Source organism: Homo sapiens, chromosome 8 (genome assembly GCF_000001405.40).
Source record: "Homo sapiens chromosome 8, GRCh38.p14 Primary Assembly".
NCBI classification, from domain to species: domain Eukaryota; kingdom Metazoa; phylum Chordata; class Mammalia; order Primates; family Hominidae; genus Homo; species Homo sapiens.
The window spans coordinates 68,955,509-68,974,792 of record NC_000008.11 but is presented as its reverse complement, the minus strand read 5'-3'; the positions used below and the strand labels follow the sequence as shown (position 1 = coordinate 68,974,792).

Sequence of the window (19,284 nt, the reverse complement as noted above, 5' to 3'; positions counted from 1 at the left end):
CTCAGCGATGCTTGGGGTTGGGACTGAGGGGACAGGCAGGAGGGAAAGAAGGAAGATTTGGGATGAGTTGCACTGGGCACAGAGACTAGGAAGGGACTGATGTGTAAAAGAATGCCTGGACATCAGGCACCTCAGACCGTTTGCCTATTTTACGACAAGAATTATTTAGATTTTGCAGGATGGAAAAATTCAAAGTGCCATTTTCTGGCTATTTGGAACTGCTGTCAAGTTTGTATTGGGGTCAAGCGGCATTGCAGAAGAAAATAAGGCATTTAGGTTTTAGGTCAGGTGTGAGTTGAAGAGGTTTTTAAGTTTTTGAGAACACAGGCTAAGGGAGGAGGAGGAGGAATGGAAGGTGGAAGCTTGCCTATAGTGAAGGAAGCAAGCCTAGAGAAAAGAGAGAGTAGAGAAATGGGGGGAAGGGGTTCGGGGGTTCTTACCTTCCAGAAAAGTGGGAAAAGGGGTTGGGGTGCAGAGATAAGAGGTCGGGGTGTGGAAATAAGGGATTGGGGCACAGAGATATAAGAGGTTGGGGTTCAGAAATAAGGGATTGGGGCACAGAGATACGAGGCTGGGGCACAGAAATAAGGGATTGGGGCACAGAGATAAGAGGTCGAGGTGCAGAAATAAGGGATTGGGCACAGAGATAAGAGATCAGGGTGCAGAAATAAGGGATTGGGGCACAGAGATAAGAGGTTGGGGCATGGAAATAAGGGATTGGGGTGCAGAGTTAAGAGGTTGGGGCGTGGAAATAAGGGATTGGGGGTTCTTGCCCTGTAGAAAAGTGGGACTTGCCACTAAGGGTGAAGGAGAAGGGGTTGAGGGGTACTTGCCCCTCTCCCAGAAAAGCAGAGAAGAGGTAGAGACAAGGAGAGAAGGGGTTGGGGTACTTGCCCCTTCCCTAGAAAAGCGGGACTTGCCGCTAAGGGTGAAGGACCAAGGCAGGTGTCCCTGCGTGGTCTGACACCCTTGAAACAGGGGTGTATAATCAGAGAGGCATCCCTGCAATGATTAAACACCAAGGGAAGGCTGCCTTCCCAGTCCGTGACTGGCGCTGGAGTTTTGGGTCCACGGATAAAACTTGTCTCCTTTGTCTCTCCCAGAAAATGAAAGGAATTGAAATTAAGAGAAGGGAGAGATTGAAGAGTGGAAAGGAGAAAGTTGTTGAGGGACAGTGAGAGAGGTTGGAGAAGAGAGTAAGAAGAGGCCGCTTACTTGATTTAAAATTGGTGAGATGTTCCTTGGGCTGGTCGGTCTGAGGACCTGAGGTCATAGGTGGAACTTTCTTACGGAGCAAAGAACAGGAGTACAGGGGATTGATCTCCCAAGGGAGGTCCCCCAATCCGAGACACAGCACCAAATTTCATGCGCGTCCGTGTGAAGAGACCACCAAACAGGCTTTGTGTGAGCACCATGGCTGTTGATTTCACCTGGGTGCAGGCAGGCTGAGTCCAAAAAGAGAGTCAGCGAAGGGAGATAAGGGTGGGGCCGTTTTATAGGATTTGGGTAGGTAAAGGAAAATTACAGTCAAAGGGGGTTTGTTCTCTGGCGGGCAGGAGTGGGGGTCACAAGGTGCTCAGTGGGGGTGCTTTTTGAGCCAGGATGAGCCAGGAAAAGGACTTTCACAAGGTAATGTCATCACTTAAGGCAAGGACCAGCCATTTACACTTCTTTTGTGGTGGAATGTCATCAGTTAAGGTGGGGCAGGGCACATTCACTTCTTTTGTGATTCTTCAGTTACTTCAGACCATCTGGGCGTATATATATATACGTTCTTGGCGTGTATATATATATATACGTGCAAGTCACAGAGGATGCAATGGCTTGGCTTGGGCTCAGAGGCCCGACAGTCAGTCCTTTTAATTTTAGACATTCTAATAGGTATCTAGTGGTTAGTCGTATCTCATAGTTTTCATTTGCATTTTTTAAAATAATTAATGATGTTGAGCACGTTTCTATCTGAATATCCTCTATGGTGAGATGTTTGGTCATTTGACATTGTCTTTTAAGTGCAAGACCAGGGACAGTTTTGTATGGGTATAGTAGTCAACATTCAGGGCTACGGCACCAGCAGCCTCAGTATAGGGAACTGTCCAATAGCACCAGGCAGTCTTATGGGAAGAGGCCTTCAGGCTGAAGAGGGAGGGAGGCCTTATTCTATATTTCCTATGGAAAGTTGAGTTCACTGGTTGAGTTCAGGGGCAGCCTCTCTCACTAAGGAAGTGGAATGGAAACCACTGTCCCTTCACTTAGGGAGATAAAGCCCCAAATTCTGTGGGGTTTACTGCCAGACAACCTGAGATTCTTAGGGTAATTCAGCAGGCAATCCTACTTGTCTCTCCTCAAGTACAATGTAAAAAGTTAATACCTTACACTTTCATCAGCTCACATTTTAGGAGGGGCAGATGGTCAAGAGGAAGATTTAAATTATAATAACAAGTATAACTATTTTCACCAATATAAGTTGCCAATGTGACTAAGCCCTGAGCTAAGGTTTTAGGCATATTATTCACTTAATCTTATAGAAACAATAGGAGATAAATATTATTAACCTCATACTACATGAAAGAAAACTGAGGCTGAAAGACATTAAAGACACTGACATGATTTGGATCGGTGTCCCCGCCCAAATCTCATGTCAAATTGTAATCCCCAGTGTTGGAGGAGGGGCCTAATAGGAGGCAATTAGATCATGGGGTGGACTTCCCACTTGTTCTCGTGGTAATGAGTGAGTTCTCATAAAATGTGTTTGTTTAAAAGTGTGTTGAGCTTCCCTTTCACTCTTTTCCTCCTTCTCTGGCCATGTAAAACGTGCCTTCACCTTCTGTCATGTTTGAAAGTTTCCTGAGGCCTCTTCAACCATGCTTTCTGTACAATCTGTGGAACCATGAGGCAATTAAGCTTCTTTTCTCTATGAATAACCCAGTCTCAGGTATTTCTTTATAGCAGAGTGAGAACAGACTCATACATAATTTAAGATGTCACAGCAGCTTCCCATTACAATTTTAAATTAATATTTGAACCCAGGTTTGTCTCCCTTCAAAGTCCATGGCATTTCTAGAATGATACCACAGTGTTCTACTTCAATGCACTGCAGAATAGACAGTTTGGGAAGAAGTTATTTGAAGATAACAAAGGTTAGAGAGAGAGAGAGAGTAAATGAAAGGGGAGCTAGATAGTAGAAAGATGTAGACTTAGTCCAGTCAAATGACTTGTCAATTTGGATTTTACTCCTGTGGCATTGTGGAAAGACATCAATAAGTAAAATATCAAATTTTAAAATATTATGACATACCATATTTTTCATGTTTTCAGTTGGTACGTCTAGGGCTAGGGCAGAGTTATTAATACTGTTTTGGATTTTTATATAACGTGGACCACTGCGACCTTTCAGATTTAAACAAGATATTCTATGGAAGCCCAACAAGCTCCCTGAGGTTTAAATAGAAAAATGAGAGACGTATATTTTCATGTTTATCTTTGCTCATCTTTACTCCTAATCTTGATTTTTCTTGATGTTCCGACACACACACACAACAAAACTTACAATCACAGCATGCATTCTACTTCTTTAAATATTGTTTACAACTTTCTAACTCCTGAGGTTTCCCATTCCTTCTATATAGATTGAATGGTCTGTAGTTATTTTACTGGCTATCCCCTTTTTATTTTCTTCCTTTCTCCTCTCTCATGCTTCTCTTGGAAGCAAAAGCAAATTCCTTTCCTTTTTTCATGCAGAATAAATTAGCAAGCAGTCACTATTGGCTTCCTGGGCCCTGACTAACATTCATGCCTTCAGGATTTCATCTTCTGTTGTAAGTAGCTTTTTAGGATTTTTTTAAAAGACTGTCCTACTTATATTAGCTATCTAGCATCCCCAAAACTAGCAGCTTAAAACAATAAGCACTTATTAACTGACATTTTCTGTGGGCAGGAATTCAGTGCAGTGTAGCAGGGTAGTCTGGTTCAGATAGGTCATGAGGCTGCCCACAGATGATTTCTAAGGCTATGCTCATCCAATAGCTTGGTGGGGGCTGAACTATTCACTTTCAAGATGGTACCCTCATGTAGCCATTTTCAGAAGCCCTCACTTGTTTGTTGGCTTTGGAATGAGATTTCAGTTCTTCCAATAGAAATAACTACATAGTGTTGGGTGAGTGTTCTCACAGCATGGCAACTGATTCTTCCCTTGTGTGTAATACAGAAAAACCAAGGAGGAAGCTACAGTGCCCTCTAGGTCTTACTCTTGGATGCTTCACACCATTATTTCTGCTGTATTCTACTTATTAGAAGCAAGTATCTATATAGCCCAATCTCAAAAGGAAGGAAATTGACTTCCACTGCTTAAAGAAAGAAGTATCAAAGAACTTGTAAATATATTTTAATACAATCACACTTAAAATAAATTCTCATACTAAGACGCGTTTTTCATCTCATTACATAGAAACAATTTTTTTTTTACAACTGAGTATAAACACTTATAGCAATAGCTATCAATGTAAATACTGAATTGAATAGATAATTTGCTTTGGTCGAAAGTGGGGTTCATTTTGCTGTAGGTGACATTCAATAAATATTGCATAGACTCTTTGCAAAGACTTTGCTTTATGCGTTCTTTAGAGAGTTTTGTCAGGGCAGCAAACATTTCTCACTAAATACCAACAATGTTGAGTGATAAGCAAATGTCTAGTGCAGTAACCATAGGTCATGTTTTATGTGGCAATGATGTTTTTCTAATTTTGCTTATTTGTTTAGTATTTGTTTTGATTTTTAATCTCCTCTTGGATGTTGACAAAGCTTCTTGTGTTAGAAACAAATGTTCGAGACAACTTTCACAATTGCTTAATGATTTCATTTATCAACTCCTGATTTTGCTTTAAGGTAAAAAATAAAATTAGGGTATGTGTTCAGTTTAGTTAAAAAAATCAAAGACAACTATTTCAGTCTATCCAATGTGATAATCATCATCCCTTTATTTTCCCGAAGAATATGTTACTAAATGAATTGAAAAGTGAATAAAAACCAGTCTACTAATTAGTTGTTTTGCTATTATTAAGCCCCCAAAATATTAACTTGACTATTTCTGTTTTTTAAGTGAATTAACTCGATGTTTTGACATGAAATATAAAACATTTTCTCTCTTAGCCCTCTGGGATGAAATTACATTTAAAAGAACTGGATTTTTCAAATCTAGTTCCATTATTGGTGTATAGGAGTGCTTGTGATTTTTTGCACATTGATTTTGTATCCTGAGACTTTGCTGAAGTTGCTTGTCAGCTTAAGGAGATTTTGGGCTGAGACAATGGAGTTTTCTAAATATACAATCATGTCATCTACAAACAGACAATTTGACTTACTCTCTTCCTATTTGAATACCCTTTCTTTCTCTTGCCTGATTGCCCTGACCAGAACTTCCAATATTACGTTGAATAGGAGTGCTGAGAGAGGGCATCCTTGTTTTGTGCCGGTTTTCAAAGGGAATGCTTCCAGCTTTTGCCCATTCAGTATGATATTGGCTGTGGGTTTGTCCTAAGTAGCTCTTATTATTTGGAGACACATTCCATCAACACCTAGTTTACTGAGAGTTTTTAGCATGAAGGGGTGTAGAATTTTATCAAAAGTCTTTTCTGCATCTATGGAGATAATCATGTGGTTTTTGTCATTGGTTCTGTTTATGTGATGGATTACGTTTATTATTTGCATATGTTGAACCAGTCTCATATCCCAGGATGAAGCAGACTTGATCGTGGTGGATAAGCTTTTTGATGTGCTGCTGGATTCAGTTTGTCAGTATTTTATTGAGGATTTTCACATCAATGTTCATCAGGGATATTGGCCTAAAATTTTCTCTTTTTTGTTGTGTCTCTGCCAGGTTTTGGTATCAGGATGATGCTGTCCTCATAAAATGAGTTATGGAGGATTCCCTCTTTTTCTATTGTTTGGAATAGTTTCAGAAGGAATGGTAGCAGCTCTTCTTTGTAACTCTGGTAGAATTGGTCTGTGAATCCATCTGGTCCTGGGCTTTCTTTGGTTGGTATTAATTACTGCCTCAATTTCAGAACTTGTTATTGGTTTATTCAGGGATTCGAGTTCTTCCTGGTTTAGACTTGAGAGGGTGTATGTCTCTAGGAATTTATCCATTTCTTCTAGATTTTTATAGTATTCTCTGATAGTAGTTTGTATTTCTCTGGGATCAGTGGTGATATCCCCTTTATCATTTTTTTGTGTGTCTATTTGATGCTTCTCTCTTGTCTTCTTTATTATTCAGGCTAACCGTCTATCTATTTTGTTAATCTTTTCAAAAATCCAGCTCTTTTTTGAAGGGTTTTTCGTGTCTCTGTCTCCTTCAGTTCTCCTCTGATCTTAGTTATTTCTTGTCTTCTGCTAGCTTTAGAATTTGTTTGCTCTTGCTTCTCTAGTTCTTTTAATTGTGATATTAGGGTTTCGATTTTAGATCTTTCCTGCTTTCTCCTGTGGGCATGTAGTGCTATACATTTCCCTCTAAACACTGCTTTGAATGTGTCTCAGAGATTCTGGTACATTGTGTCTTTGTTCTCATTGATTTTAAAGAACTTGTTTATTTCTGCCTTAATTTTGTTATTTACCCAGTAGTTATTTAGGAGCAGGTTGTTCAGTTTCCATGTAGTTGTGCAGTTTTGAGTGAGTTTTTTAATCCTGAGTTCTAATTTGATTGCACTAAGCCTATCTGAAAGTGAGGCCACGTACCCACATGGCCACTTCCATGGTACTGTGTTGTCACTGTGTAACAGATCTATGAATAATGCTGTAAGCTAATCTTGCTGAGAAATCTCAGGGCCTTAAGTGATGATTAACTTTCCTATGGCCAGATGATGAGCACAGTCAGAATTGAACTCCAGAATTTCTGACTCATCTTTGCTGATGAGAATTTTCACTTTGCCTGTTCATGTTGGAAAAGTCTCTCCTGCGTGACTAATAAAGGCTGTGAGGAATGCCATATTCTTCTGTGGATGGCTTCCATCAGGGGGCTTTGTCAGCCTTCTTGGGGTTGTGGGATTCAGAAAGAGCCACAGAACAGCTGCATAATCCTCTTAAGCGTCACAGGAGAGACTCCCTTATAATACTAAGCCATGATATTTAATTCATCAGTAATAACCGTTGGGTTCAGAATACACTTACATTGTTTAACCAACATGATTTCAAGGAGTCTCAGAAAAGCATAATTACTAAGTTCTAATCTTTCAAACATATCTCTGCAGGTTGGGCTGTAGATGTCAACATAATAGCCTTTTCATATTCTGGGAATGTGTATGTGTGTGTGCTTGGGTGTATGAATTTCAATAGTCAATTTATATTCTCAAGTTTATTTACATCTTTTTTTTTCTGATGACAGAGAAAACTGTTGCTATGGGAATGTCAAGGAAAATAAGAATTCCAAATAACTAAAAGGAAAAAAAAACAAACCAGAAGACTCTAAACAGCTCAGGTGAAGGAGCCCCTTACCTGCTGGAGCTGTGTGTGTGTGGTGTGATGGTTAAGAGTGTGGCCTCCAAGGTTATACTGCTGATCTGGATCCCTGGCCCTAGCTGTGTTACCTGGACAAGTCACTTTATCTTTCTATTCCTCATGGGCAAATAGTGATACAGTAGTACAAAATCTATATAAAATTCTTAAAGCAGAGTCTGGCACACCGTATATTCTAAATAAGTGTTATCTATTGTTATTACATAGGAAAACAGCAGAAAAGTCGCTATTTAATAGCTACTTTAATTGTTGACCTTTTTAAATTTCTCAAACTTTGAAAGAGTTCAGCTTAGATTATGCAGCCAGGACTTTTGGGAACATTTCCTGCCGTGTGACATGACTTCAGGGATGCAAATGAGGGCTGTGTAGTGATGGCTTATCTTCCTAGCATCGATCTTGAAAGAAAAACCTTTAATGGGTGGCAAAGTTTTACTTGTTAAAAAAGTTATTGAAAATAACCTGGACAAGATTCAAATCCACATGTTTTTATTTCTAAAGTTTTGTATCTAAGGTTGGCGCTATCTTTTGAAGCAGTTGCATCCTTTATATTGGCTCCTGTCCTTACCAATCCATTTATGTATTTTAGTTGCTGTTTTGAAAACACACAACGAAAGGAGCCAGAGGCTGAAGCAGAGAGACAATTAGGAGATGAGATTGTGATAGCTGGGGCCAAGGTAGCTGCAGAGGGGCCATGAGAAAAGGCCAAATTCTGAACATGTGGTATTTGAGGTTAGACATAATGAGATGTGATGATGGATCCACTTTGTATGTGAGTATAAGACAGAAGTCAAGATAACCGATTTGGGTCTGAGAAGTTGGGAGAAAGGAGTTGCCTTTAACTGAGACAAGGAAGACTACAAGATAAAGTGGTGTTTGTTGAAATGTGTGGAGCACAATTTAGGATATTTTACATTTGAGACATTTTTTGGACATCAAATTGGAGATGTCAGGTAGTCTGATCAGATAAAATACAGGATGATCAGTGAAGTTAAAATTTCATATTTAAAAATTGTTCAGTGTAAGTATATCCTAGATATATAATGGTACATACTTATACCAAAAATTATTCATTGGTTGTCCAAAATTCCCATTTTACTAGGTATCTTGTATTTTATTTGTTAAATCTGGCAACTTTATCAGCTAGGCTGTAGGATAATGGGATGGTGTTGCAGGCTGGAGCCATCAACGTAAAGATGATCTTTAAAGCGAGGAGACTGGGTGAGAGCATCACGGGAGTGAGAATGGACAGCAATGTAAAGTGATCTAAGGATTGAGTCCTGGGATTCAGTGAAGAGGTTAGATAATGAGGAGAAACAGTAAAGGATACTAAGAAGGAGAGGATCGAAAGTTAGAGGAAAATCATGTGTGTGTGCCAACCCGAAAGCCAAGTGGAGAAATGGTTTCAAGTGGAAGCCATCGATGGCGTCCAATGCTGAAAATAGGTGACAGATAATGAAGATGAGAACTAAGAAGGGATCTGTCAAAGAAGATATCCATAATGGTTTTGACAAAAGAATTTTTGGTAGATGAATGAGGGATCCTCACCCAGAATATGTTCCAAATTCTTTTAGAAATAGCAAGTTGAGAAAATTCTTACAAGGGGTTTTATAAAGTGAAGACAAGGAATATAGTGTCAGCTGGAGATGAAAATGAGGTTAAAAGACAATTTTTTAAGTAAAATATATGGGAGAAATAACAATGTTTGAATGCTGCTCAGTATAATTCAAAGAGAGAGAAAACTGAATGATGCAAGACACAGAGGGGATAATTGCTGGAGAAATGTCCCTGGAGGGAATGGAATTTTGAGAGCAAATGAAGGGATTGACCTTGGATAGGGATACGGAGAGGTCATCCATAGTAACTGGTGATAATGTGAAGTTGATGGTACAGGAACAAGGAGGTGAGTAGAAGCGGTGGTGGTATTTAACAGAAGTTCTCTTTTGATCACTTTTGTTTTCCCAGTGAAGGAGGAAGCAAGGTAGCACTTTGCTGAGAGTGAGGATTAATGAGGAAGTGGAAGAGACTCAAGTCCCTTTATTTCTTATCTGGAGTTTCATCTTTTCTGAATTTGTTTATTCCTCTGTTATAAAACATATGACTTTCTATTGTCTTTCCATCTTGTTTGATGGTATATGTGTTCTATTTCCCCTTAATTTGTAAGTTCTCTGAAGGCAGAGTTCATACAAGTTCGGGTGTGAATTCTCATGCCTTAATCATAGCAGACAATGAAGACTTATTAAGAGAATCAAGTCTTTAAAAAATGAAATGCAGAATAATCCCCAAAAACTCTTTTAAGATTTTAAAATCCTCATACGCTTGAAGATCCACTGTATATTATAGAAAATTCAAATAAGTAAACCAATTATTTTATTCGGTAGTTATGAAAGTATGGATTATAGAAAACTGTACAAAATGTTAGCAATATGTACTGAACAAACCACTCCAGTGTGCATAGAATTGTTAAATAGCATACACATATCAATTATGGTTCAAAGTAAAAGGACAGATTCTTGAAATACAGCCTTATAAATTCCAAACTAAGCAGTGTATTCTACGTAGAACTTCAAATACAATTTACTAATAAGGATTTTTTTTTAAGTTGCCAATTATGTTCTTCCAAAATATTAACCAGGTGAAATTATGTAGATATTTCAAAAGGATAGGAAAGTATAAATAGTTATTCTCAAGAATTCAACATACATTAGTGGCTAAAAGTGTTGATATGCTAACATATTTACAAACAAAATAATAGATTATTATATTTGGTGAAAAGATTAGGCATTAACTTCAAAAGTCTGTATAATTATGGCTCTGGTTTACTTTAGAGTATATGTTTAAGCCCACAGTATGCAAATTAAAAAGATATTATATTCAGTGTTTATGTAATTGTGTATTTCCTCTAAAATTATAGTGAAAATATCTATAATTAAATAAATGCTCTCTTCAGTTACTGAGAAGTCTTATAATCTTTTTGCCTCTGTAAACAAAGGCCTATTTTAACATCCTTATGAAGTTTAGCTACTGATGATAATGCCACACATTTTTTACTATATTTTAGAGGGAAGAAATACTAATTAACTCTGCAAAATGAATTACCACATGAATATATCAATCTTCAATAATTAATCATAATACCAATGTTAGTGATAATACCAATCCAATATTACAAATAAGCTAATTGTCTTTTTAAATTTACATATTGTGCCTTTAGTGCTAAAACTGTTTCAGATATTTCTAAACATAAAATGAATCCTTAATTATTTTTATAATCAAATGACCTATCTTCCATTTGCTCATATAGTCCCAATAATCTCAAAGAAGCAACTACATCTGGATCTATTTTCACACTATTTGATGTAACTATTTTCAAAAGAAAAGCCAGCTCAATAAAATAATTACTCAATTTAAAGTCTAAGTTTATTATAAACAGCAGACTTGCAAACATTTGACTGCTAAGAACCATCAGCCCTGTTCATTTTATTCCTTTTAGCTTCATTTTACTTGTAAATGCATGCTTTTCCTTTCTGAAAAAGAATTTTTCCTTATTATTACCATTTTTTAAATCAGGAAAAATTAACTTTATTCATTTTTGCTATTATATTAGCCTGAAACTTCACATCTTAATATATACGGCATATATTATTTTTAAATTTCCAACATCTGTAATATACCCACCAACTATGCTTCCCTTGGGGACCTGCCATTGTTCAGTGGCTGCTTCCTTTCTTCCCTCACTATAGAGGTGAGAGCTGCTCCACCTTCTTTGATGGAAACTATTTAACTGAAGCTGTGTATTGTTTCTGCTTTCCATGACTAAGACAGAACTAGAGAATATTAGAGCTGGAGTGGACTTCAGAATCCATCCTGTCCACCCATCTTGCCTTATGCCTGAGGAATGAGATCCAGAGACGGAATATAGCTTGACATACACAGCTCAGTAGTGAGAGAACCAGGACATGATTTCAAATCATTTTCTTTACAACTGTATGTTCACATTTTTATGTGCTTCAGCTAAAATTTGCTTTCCCATTTCCCTTCTGCATGAATTGCCGAAGGTCATTCTTCTTTAGCTCTCCACAAAGGATTTTATGCTCGGGTATCATAGTGTCTATTTCCTTTGGATCATATCCATGCCTATGGATGTGGCTTACATCTTGCATGAATGCCATGTTGTCATGCCAGTCACCTCCCAGTGACCCATGTTTTGCTTTTTGTTTTTTTCCCCAAAGCGTATACTATCTAAGCAATGGGGTTATTTACTTCTCTTCTGTGTCTCCTTAGTACCATGCATTATCTATGGCAGTCCTCATTACTCTGGACTGTCATCATTCATTTGGTTGCCTGTTAGTCCTTAGAGACAAAGAAAATATTTAATTTAACTCTATATTTTTAGTGCCCAGGAAGGCTCTTAACTTGTTTTTTGACATTGTCCAAAGGCCCAGCACAGCCATGGGTCCAGAAAACTGTCTTGATCATGAAAACTTCTCTTCTTTCTCCCATCTTTCCTCCACCTCAAGGCCTCAGACTTTGTAGAAAATCAGGCAGTTATTTTGCTTTTGCAACAGAGCTGATTTTGGAGGTCGCCAGAGTGCTGGTGATTACTTCCTTAAGCTTTTCTCTCAGCATCAATTTAGAGACTCCAACCCCAGAAGATGTTCCAGGTAGGAAGAATCATGGAGGAGTCTGGTGGTGAACTGTATTCTGGGAAGTATCATCTCCACCGGTGTTGTGTCAAGTAGAAATCGATACAGGTGATAGATACAAAGGAAAGTCTTTAAATGTATTTTCCAATTGGGCATACATGTCAATTTGTGTTTATCACCTTTCTTCCATATTGATAATAACTTAATTCTCACAATCTCATGCAAGATAAGAAACAGACCTGATCTGAACCAAAGAAGAAACATTAATTCTCTCTGTAGCTCTGGAATTAGGCATAGACCAATTTGTAAACTGAAGACATCAACATGCTTTTAAAAAGATTTTGCTCCATTTATATCTATTTTGCCAGCACACGGAAATAAAAACTTTCAGAAATAAAGTAGCCACATCATTCAAAACAGTGTTCCTTAAAGGGTGGTCCACAGGAAGGAAACATTTAAGAGGTTGTTAAAACTACATATTTCTGGGCCACCACCCCAAATCTGCTGAAGCCTCATGAAAATAAAAGCACAAAATATTAGCACATGGTGATATTGCAATGGCAACCTGGTGTAGGGGAAGAAAACCACGTAGAGAATGAGGAAAAGTGAATTCTTATCCAGTTTTCACCATGAACTAAATATGACACCTGGAAAAGTGGCTTAACCAACCTGGACAACAGTGGAGAATATGCTGGAGTGTATGTTCTGGAAAGGAATTTGTTGGAGAATATGTTGTTAGTATCCTCACTATAGTCTCTGATTCTTTCATCCTCTTATGAAAGTACATTTTGTAGTTAGTTAATTATGTTGTATTCCCTATTCTAATTACTTTAAGTTTCCTAAGCATCCCATGGCCTCTTGAATATAAAGGAATGATTTTTTATGTCTCTCAGGCCATCTTTCAGGATCTTTAAGGTTAAAACATTTAATGTGACTTGAATTTTCACTGTGTACCAGATGATTTTACAGCTAAAACCTCAACAATTCTGTAAGGTAGTTTGACAAAATCTCCTTTTTAAACAAAAGGGCAATCTCATCCAATCAAATAGGTTGTACAAGCAAACTGCTTACATAATGTTCCCCTTCTACCCAAATGTTGTTCACAGTAGGATCTCAACATCTTTTTGACAGGCAATAGAAGTGCTAGAGCATGGAAACCTGCAGACACCTGCAGGAAGCGGACTTGCTGGCATTATAACCATTCTCTGGAGTGGTTGCAAGAAACGATTGACGAGAACTGGAATCCGATCCACTGGCCAAAGTTAAGAGTATATGTCACTGTACATTCTTTTTGGAAAGAGAAATTGCCTGAAGTCAGAATTTAAATCAATTTTTTATATGCTACCCCATAATAGTAAGAGTTTTTGTTAAGTAAGTTACTAAATATCTTTTTAAACAACATACAGAGTTTGCTCATCTTTTACTAGGCATTGAAAACATGACAAATGATATATCAAGCTTCAGGAAATCATCAAAAACACAGATACTATTTTTGTATAAAGATTGCTATTAATTATAATATCAACAATGAAAACAATAGCAATCCAATTAGCTCAATTCTGGCATGACAAGGACCCTAAAGATACCTAGAATATTACAAAGAATATTTAGTGGCATTGGAAAACAAGTTATAATATTATTTGTATCTCAATTGCCAATTGTCCATAAGTATGAGCCTGAATTTTTAAATGTATATACATAGAAAAAAAATACATTAAAAAATGCTAACAACTGTTATCTCTAAATTTTAGATAATTTAAAATTTCTTTCTCTTTACCTTTCTAAATATTCACAATTACTTAGAATGAATAGGAAATATTTCATAATCAGGAAGACATGTGTGTTCATTTAAAGAATCTCTTCAAGGAATGGGAAACTACTTATGAGAAAGTAACTGGGAATTCAGTTAGCAGTAGTTGGGATCCTAGGAGGATATATTGAAGAAAATCAGTGATTAATGGCAACACCAATTAGTGATAATTGCAATCCATCCGTTTGAATAAAACTAGGGAGGAGACATGTCCTTCCACATTAGGGATGTGCTAGGAGCTTCCACACTGTCATGTGGCAGGAAGCAGAGAAGGGAGGAAGATGACATTCTCTTTTAGGGAGAAAGGAGAGGGGATCTATCATTGGAATCTGTTTCAAAGGATTTGGAGGTGGGCACAATGAGGTTGAGACTGTGCATCGGATCCTGGTGTTGGCATTTTTAGCAAGGCTAACCTGGAGCATGTGGCTCAGCCCAGACCTCAGCTTTCTCATGCACCCCTCATCCTTTCCAACTGCAGTGTTGCCTGGTCTCAAATCCTTGATGCCCGAGAGTGGCTTTCTGTCAAAGTGAAATATTGAGCCATAAACTGGAATTGTACATCTCCCTCTCAAAATATGTGACCAACAAATGGGATTAAAATTATGTTGGCAAATGTGGGTTATAATGATTTTACCTATTGGGAGCTATTCATCTGTATGTTGTTTTTATCATTTCAAATGTTATTTGTGGAAGGAGAATGTGATTATTTGCCAAGATCTACATTATGTCATTTGCCCTGTTCTATAAACAGATTACACATACCATATAGATATAAGCATAGGCTGTGGTTAGCTAATTATAGTTAATGCAAATGCTCACATATGTACAATTCATTTTAAAGGGATTAGTTATAAGTGCCATATTTTAGTTAGAAGGACTTTTGGAAATACCTCATCATAGCAGGGCACCAGAGCCACTTACGCTTCTTTTTTTTTTTTAAATGAACACAAACCATATGGAATATGATATAGAAATCTAATTTTTGAAAAAATACCCACTAAGTATAAAATATACTGTGAGATTATTTGGCGAAAGTGCTAATCTATATTACAAATAGGATTTGTCCAGGTATACTTGTTGCCAAAAGAAAGCATTTTTTATTTAAAATCTAGTATTACAAACTGTTTCCAAACACATTCATTTGATTAATAAAGGTTAACAGTGAAGCACAGCATTGGCCCTCACAGCAAATAATTCAGATTAAAATTTCAGTATAAAAGACTTTTGTTTCTTAGAGAAAGTTAAAATAATCCCATCATGCTCAACAAATGCAGCATTTCTATTGTTCACACAAATTTCTGATCACCATGGCAGACGTTTCTGCTTACCTACTCAACGTCTATTTCCCATTCAGTTTTTGTAATATAACCTGATTTTCAGTGAGGCTGTACGTAGCCAGCTGCAAATTGCATTTCCTAACCTCCTTTGCAGGTAGAAGTGGCCATGTGATCATTCTGGCCAATGAAACAAAAGTGGAAGTTTCTGGGAGAGACTTCAAGGAAAACTCTTTAAAAGAGACTCAATTCCATTGGTAAACAACTTTTGTTCTTCTACTTCTTCCTACTTAATATGCTGGTTTTAGAGAATCCAACTTGTGACCATAAGGCAACAGCCATGCATATGAGTGCTGCACCATGGACCTCTGAACAGAAAGTTGGAGGGAGTCTGCCTGCATCACTGATGGTATTACAGAGTCCCCGATACCAGTTCTAAGCAGCTTAGCTCTGAGCTCCTTGTTTCACAAAACTAATACCATTGATTCAGTGCATTCCTTAATGATAAAAGTACAAATTATGATTATTAGCTGAAGTTTGCTGTTTGTAGATGTTGTCAAAGGCTCTTAAAAATGGTCCATTTCTCTGCCTGTGTTTGTACCAGCACCATGCTGGTTAGGTTACTGTAGCCTTGTAGTACCGTTTGAAGTCAGGAAAAGTGATGCCTCCAGTTTTATTCTTTTTGCTTAGGTTGCCTTGACTATTTGGGCTCTTTTTGTTTCATATTAATTTTAAAATAGTTTTTTTTTTCTAGTTCTGTGAAAAATGTCATTGGTAGTTTGATAGAAATAGCACTGAATCTGTAAATTGCTTTGAGCAGTATGGCCATTTTAATGATATTGATTCTTCCTATCCATGAACATTGAATGTTTTTTTAATTTGTTTGTCTGTTCCCTGATTTCTTTGAGCAGTGTTTTGTAATTCTCACTGTAGAGATCTTTCACCTCTCCCCTGGTTAGCTGTTTTCCTAGGTTTTTTATTCTTTTTGTGACAATTGTGAGTGGGATTGCCTTTGTAGATTTGGCTCTTGGTTTGGCTGTTGTTGGTGTATAGGAATGTTAATGATTTTTGTTCATTGATTTTGTATCCTGCAACTTTGCTGAAGTTGTTTATCAGCTGGAGATCAATGGAACAGAATAGAAAGCCCAGAAATAAGGCCACACATCTATGACCACCTGATCTTCAACAAAGCTGACAAAAATGAGCAATGGGTAAATAACTCCCTATTCAATAAATGACGCTGAGATAACTGGCTAGTCATATGCAGAAGATTGAAGCTAGACTCCTTTCTTAAACCATACACAAAAATCAACCCAAGATGGATTAAAGATTTAAATGTAAAACCCAAAATTATAAAAACCCTGGAAGACAACCTAGGCAATACCATCCTGGATATGGGAACAAACGACGTTTCATGACAAAGATGCCAAAAGCAATCACAACAAAAGCCAAAATTGACATATGAGATCTAATTAAACCTAAGAGCTCTGCACAGCAAACGAAACTATCAACAGAGTAAACAGACAATATTTAAAATGGGAGAAAATTTTTGCAAAGTATGCACCTGACAAAGTATCTGTGAGGAACTTAAATTTAGAAGAGAAAAACAACCCCATTAAAAAGTAGGCAAAGAACATGGACACTTCTCAAAAGAAGACATACATGCAGCTAACTAGAATATGAAAAAAGTTCAATATCACTGATCATTAGAGAAATGCAAATAAAAACTACAATGAGATACCATCTCACACCAGTCAGAATGATTATTAAAAAGTCAAAAAATAACAGATGCTGGTGAGGTTGTGGAGGGATAAAAACACTTATACACTGTTGGTGGGAGTGTAATTTAGCTTAACCATAAGGAAAGCAGTATGGCAATTCCTCAGAGAGCTAAAAGCAGAACTATCATTTGAATCAGCAATTCCATTACTTGGTATATACCCAGAGGAATATAAATCATTCTACCATAAAGACACATGATGCAAATGTTCATTGCAGCACTATTCACAATAGCAAAGACGTGGAATCAACCTAAATGCCTATCAATGACAGGTCGGATGAAGAAAATGTGGTACATATACACTTTGGAATACTATGCAGTCATAAAAAACACGTGATCATGTCTTTTGTAGGAACATGGATGGAACTGGAGGCTATTATCCTTAGCAAACTAATGCAGGAACAGAAAACTAAATACCACATGTTCTCACTTATAAGTGGGAGCTAAATGATAAGAACACATGGACACACAGAGGAGGAACAACAGATGCTGGGGCCTACTTGAGGATGGAGGGTGAGAGGAGGGAGAGGAGCAGAAAAGATAACTATTGGGTACTGGGCTTAATACCTGGGTGATGAAGCAATATGTAAAGCAACGCTTGTATGGATGGATCACCAGGTCAAGAGTTCAAGACCAGCCTGGCCAAGATGGTGAAACCCGTCTCCACTAAAAATACAAAAAAAATTAGCCAGGTATGGTGGTGGGCACCTGTAATCCCAGCTACCGAGGAGGCTGAGTCAGAGAATTGCTTGAACTTGGGAGGCGGAGGTTGCAGAGAGCTGTGATCATGCCACTGCACTCCAGCCTGGGCGATAGAGCAAGACTCTGTCTCCAAAAAATAAAAAATAAAAAACCAACGCCTGTAATCCCAGCCCTTGGGAGGCCGAGGGGGATGAACCACCTGAGGTCAGGAATTTGAGACCAGCCTGGCCAACATGGTAAAACCCCATCTTTTCTAAAAATACAAAAAATTAGCCAGGGGTGGTGGCACACACCTATAATCCCAGCTACTTGGGATTGGGAGGCCAAGGCAGGAGAATTGCTTGAACCTGGGAGGCAGAGGTTGCAGTGAGCCAAGATCATGTCACTGCACTCCAGCCTGGGTGACAGAACGAGAATCCGTCTCAAAAAAAGGAAGAAAAAGTTGCATTTCCCAGTGAAACTCTTTTTTTGATGAATAAAACGGTGTTTGAGTGACTCAGAAGAGTAAATAGCTTCTTCTTCATACACTTCGTGCATTGCTTCTTTGGCTATCTGGGAAGGCTTTTTACTTCTGAAGAATGCTTTTTAATATTACAGAGTTATACTCTTCTTTATAAGCCATGGTTTCTTAATATAAACATCTTTGGATGGTCTTCATGTGTTCTAAGGTTGTATATTTGCTCCAGTATTGTATGAGCAATTTTAATGCCAACAACTGGTGTTTACCATGAGAGTGTGGATGAACGTTCTTGTTTAAAGAAAAGAAGATCTCAGTGGTAACCAAGATCTCAGTGGTAACCACATATTCCATTCTATAAACAAAAGTGTCTTATAAATATTTCCATCGAAATCCAGTTCTAATATGGAGCTTATTGAACCTAAAACATCTGAATTATCATATCTGATTCATGACTTAGTTATGAAAGCCCAGAAGGTTAATGAAGTATCAAAATTATGTACATATATGTTTTGTTTTGTTTTATTTTCTTAAGATGGAGTCTCTGTCTGTTGCCCAAACTTCCCAGATTCAAGTGATTCTCCTGCCTCAGCCTCCTGAGTAGCTGGGACTACTGGTGTGTGCCTCCACGCCCAGCCAATTTTTGTATTTTTAGTAGAGACGGGGTTTTGCCATGTTGGCCAGGCTGGTCTTGAACTTCTGACCTCAGGTGATTCGCCTGCCTTGGCCTCCCAAAGTACTGGGATTACAGGCATAAGCCACCGCGCCGAGCCCATACATGGTTTTAATTTAAGTACACTTTGTTCAGTACTTCCTTGGAGAAATTAATAGATACTACAAAATGGAGATAATGGCCTTTATCCTACCCTATCATAATTATTACATGTTATATAACTTCTTTCAGATTAAGGTAGACGGGAGGTAGGTTTACAAACTAAATAAATTCTGAATATCTGTATAATAATGGTTTTCTTCTCTTTTCCGGAAATACATATTGGTTGATTTTTCAATTAACTCATAATGTTTCCTCTAATTTTAATATTTTTTTAAACTGAGAGTGTCATTTACAGCAACATGAATGGAACTGGAGGCCATTGTGTTAAGTGAAAGTGCTA

At 37.7% G+C, this 19,284-nt stretch overlaps 1 long non-coding RNA gene across 1 annotated transcript in view, besides 2 other annotated features; it reads left to right on the top strand.

The window, feature by feature from the left end:
* Positions 1 to 1,361: part of a mobile genetic element, noted in NCBI's record as "direction; forward", that runs on past the window's edge.
* The window catches only part of LINC01592 (long intergenic non-protein coding RNA 1592), a 192,388-nt gene that overhangs the window by 129,398 nt on the left and 43,706 nt on the right, over positions 1 to 19,284 (top strand). The gene's annotated exons all lie outside the window — the stretch shown is intronic.
* Positions 1,350 to 1,909: an enhancer, noted in NCBI's record as "OCT4-NANOG hESC enhancer chr8:69885119-69885678 (GRCh37/hg19 assembly coordinates)". NCBI's record gives its function as "activates a minimal SCP1, AML or CMV promoter by ChIP-STARR-seq in naive and primed H9 embryonic stem cells {active_cell/tissue: H9 hESC(naive and primed)}" and the evidence as "EXISTENCE:reporter gene assay evidence [ECO:0000049][PMID:30033119]".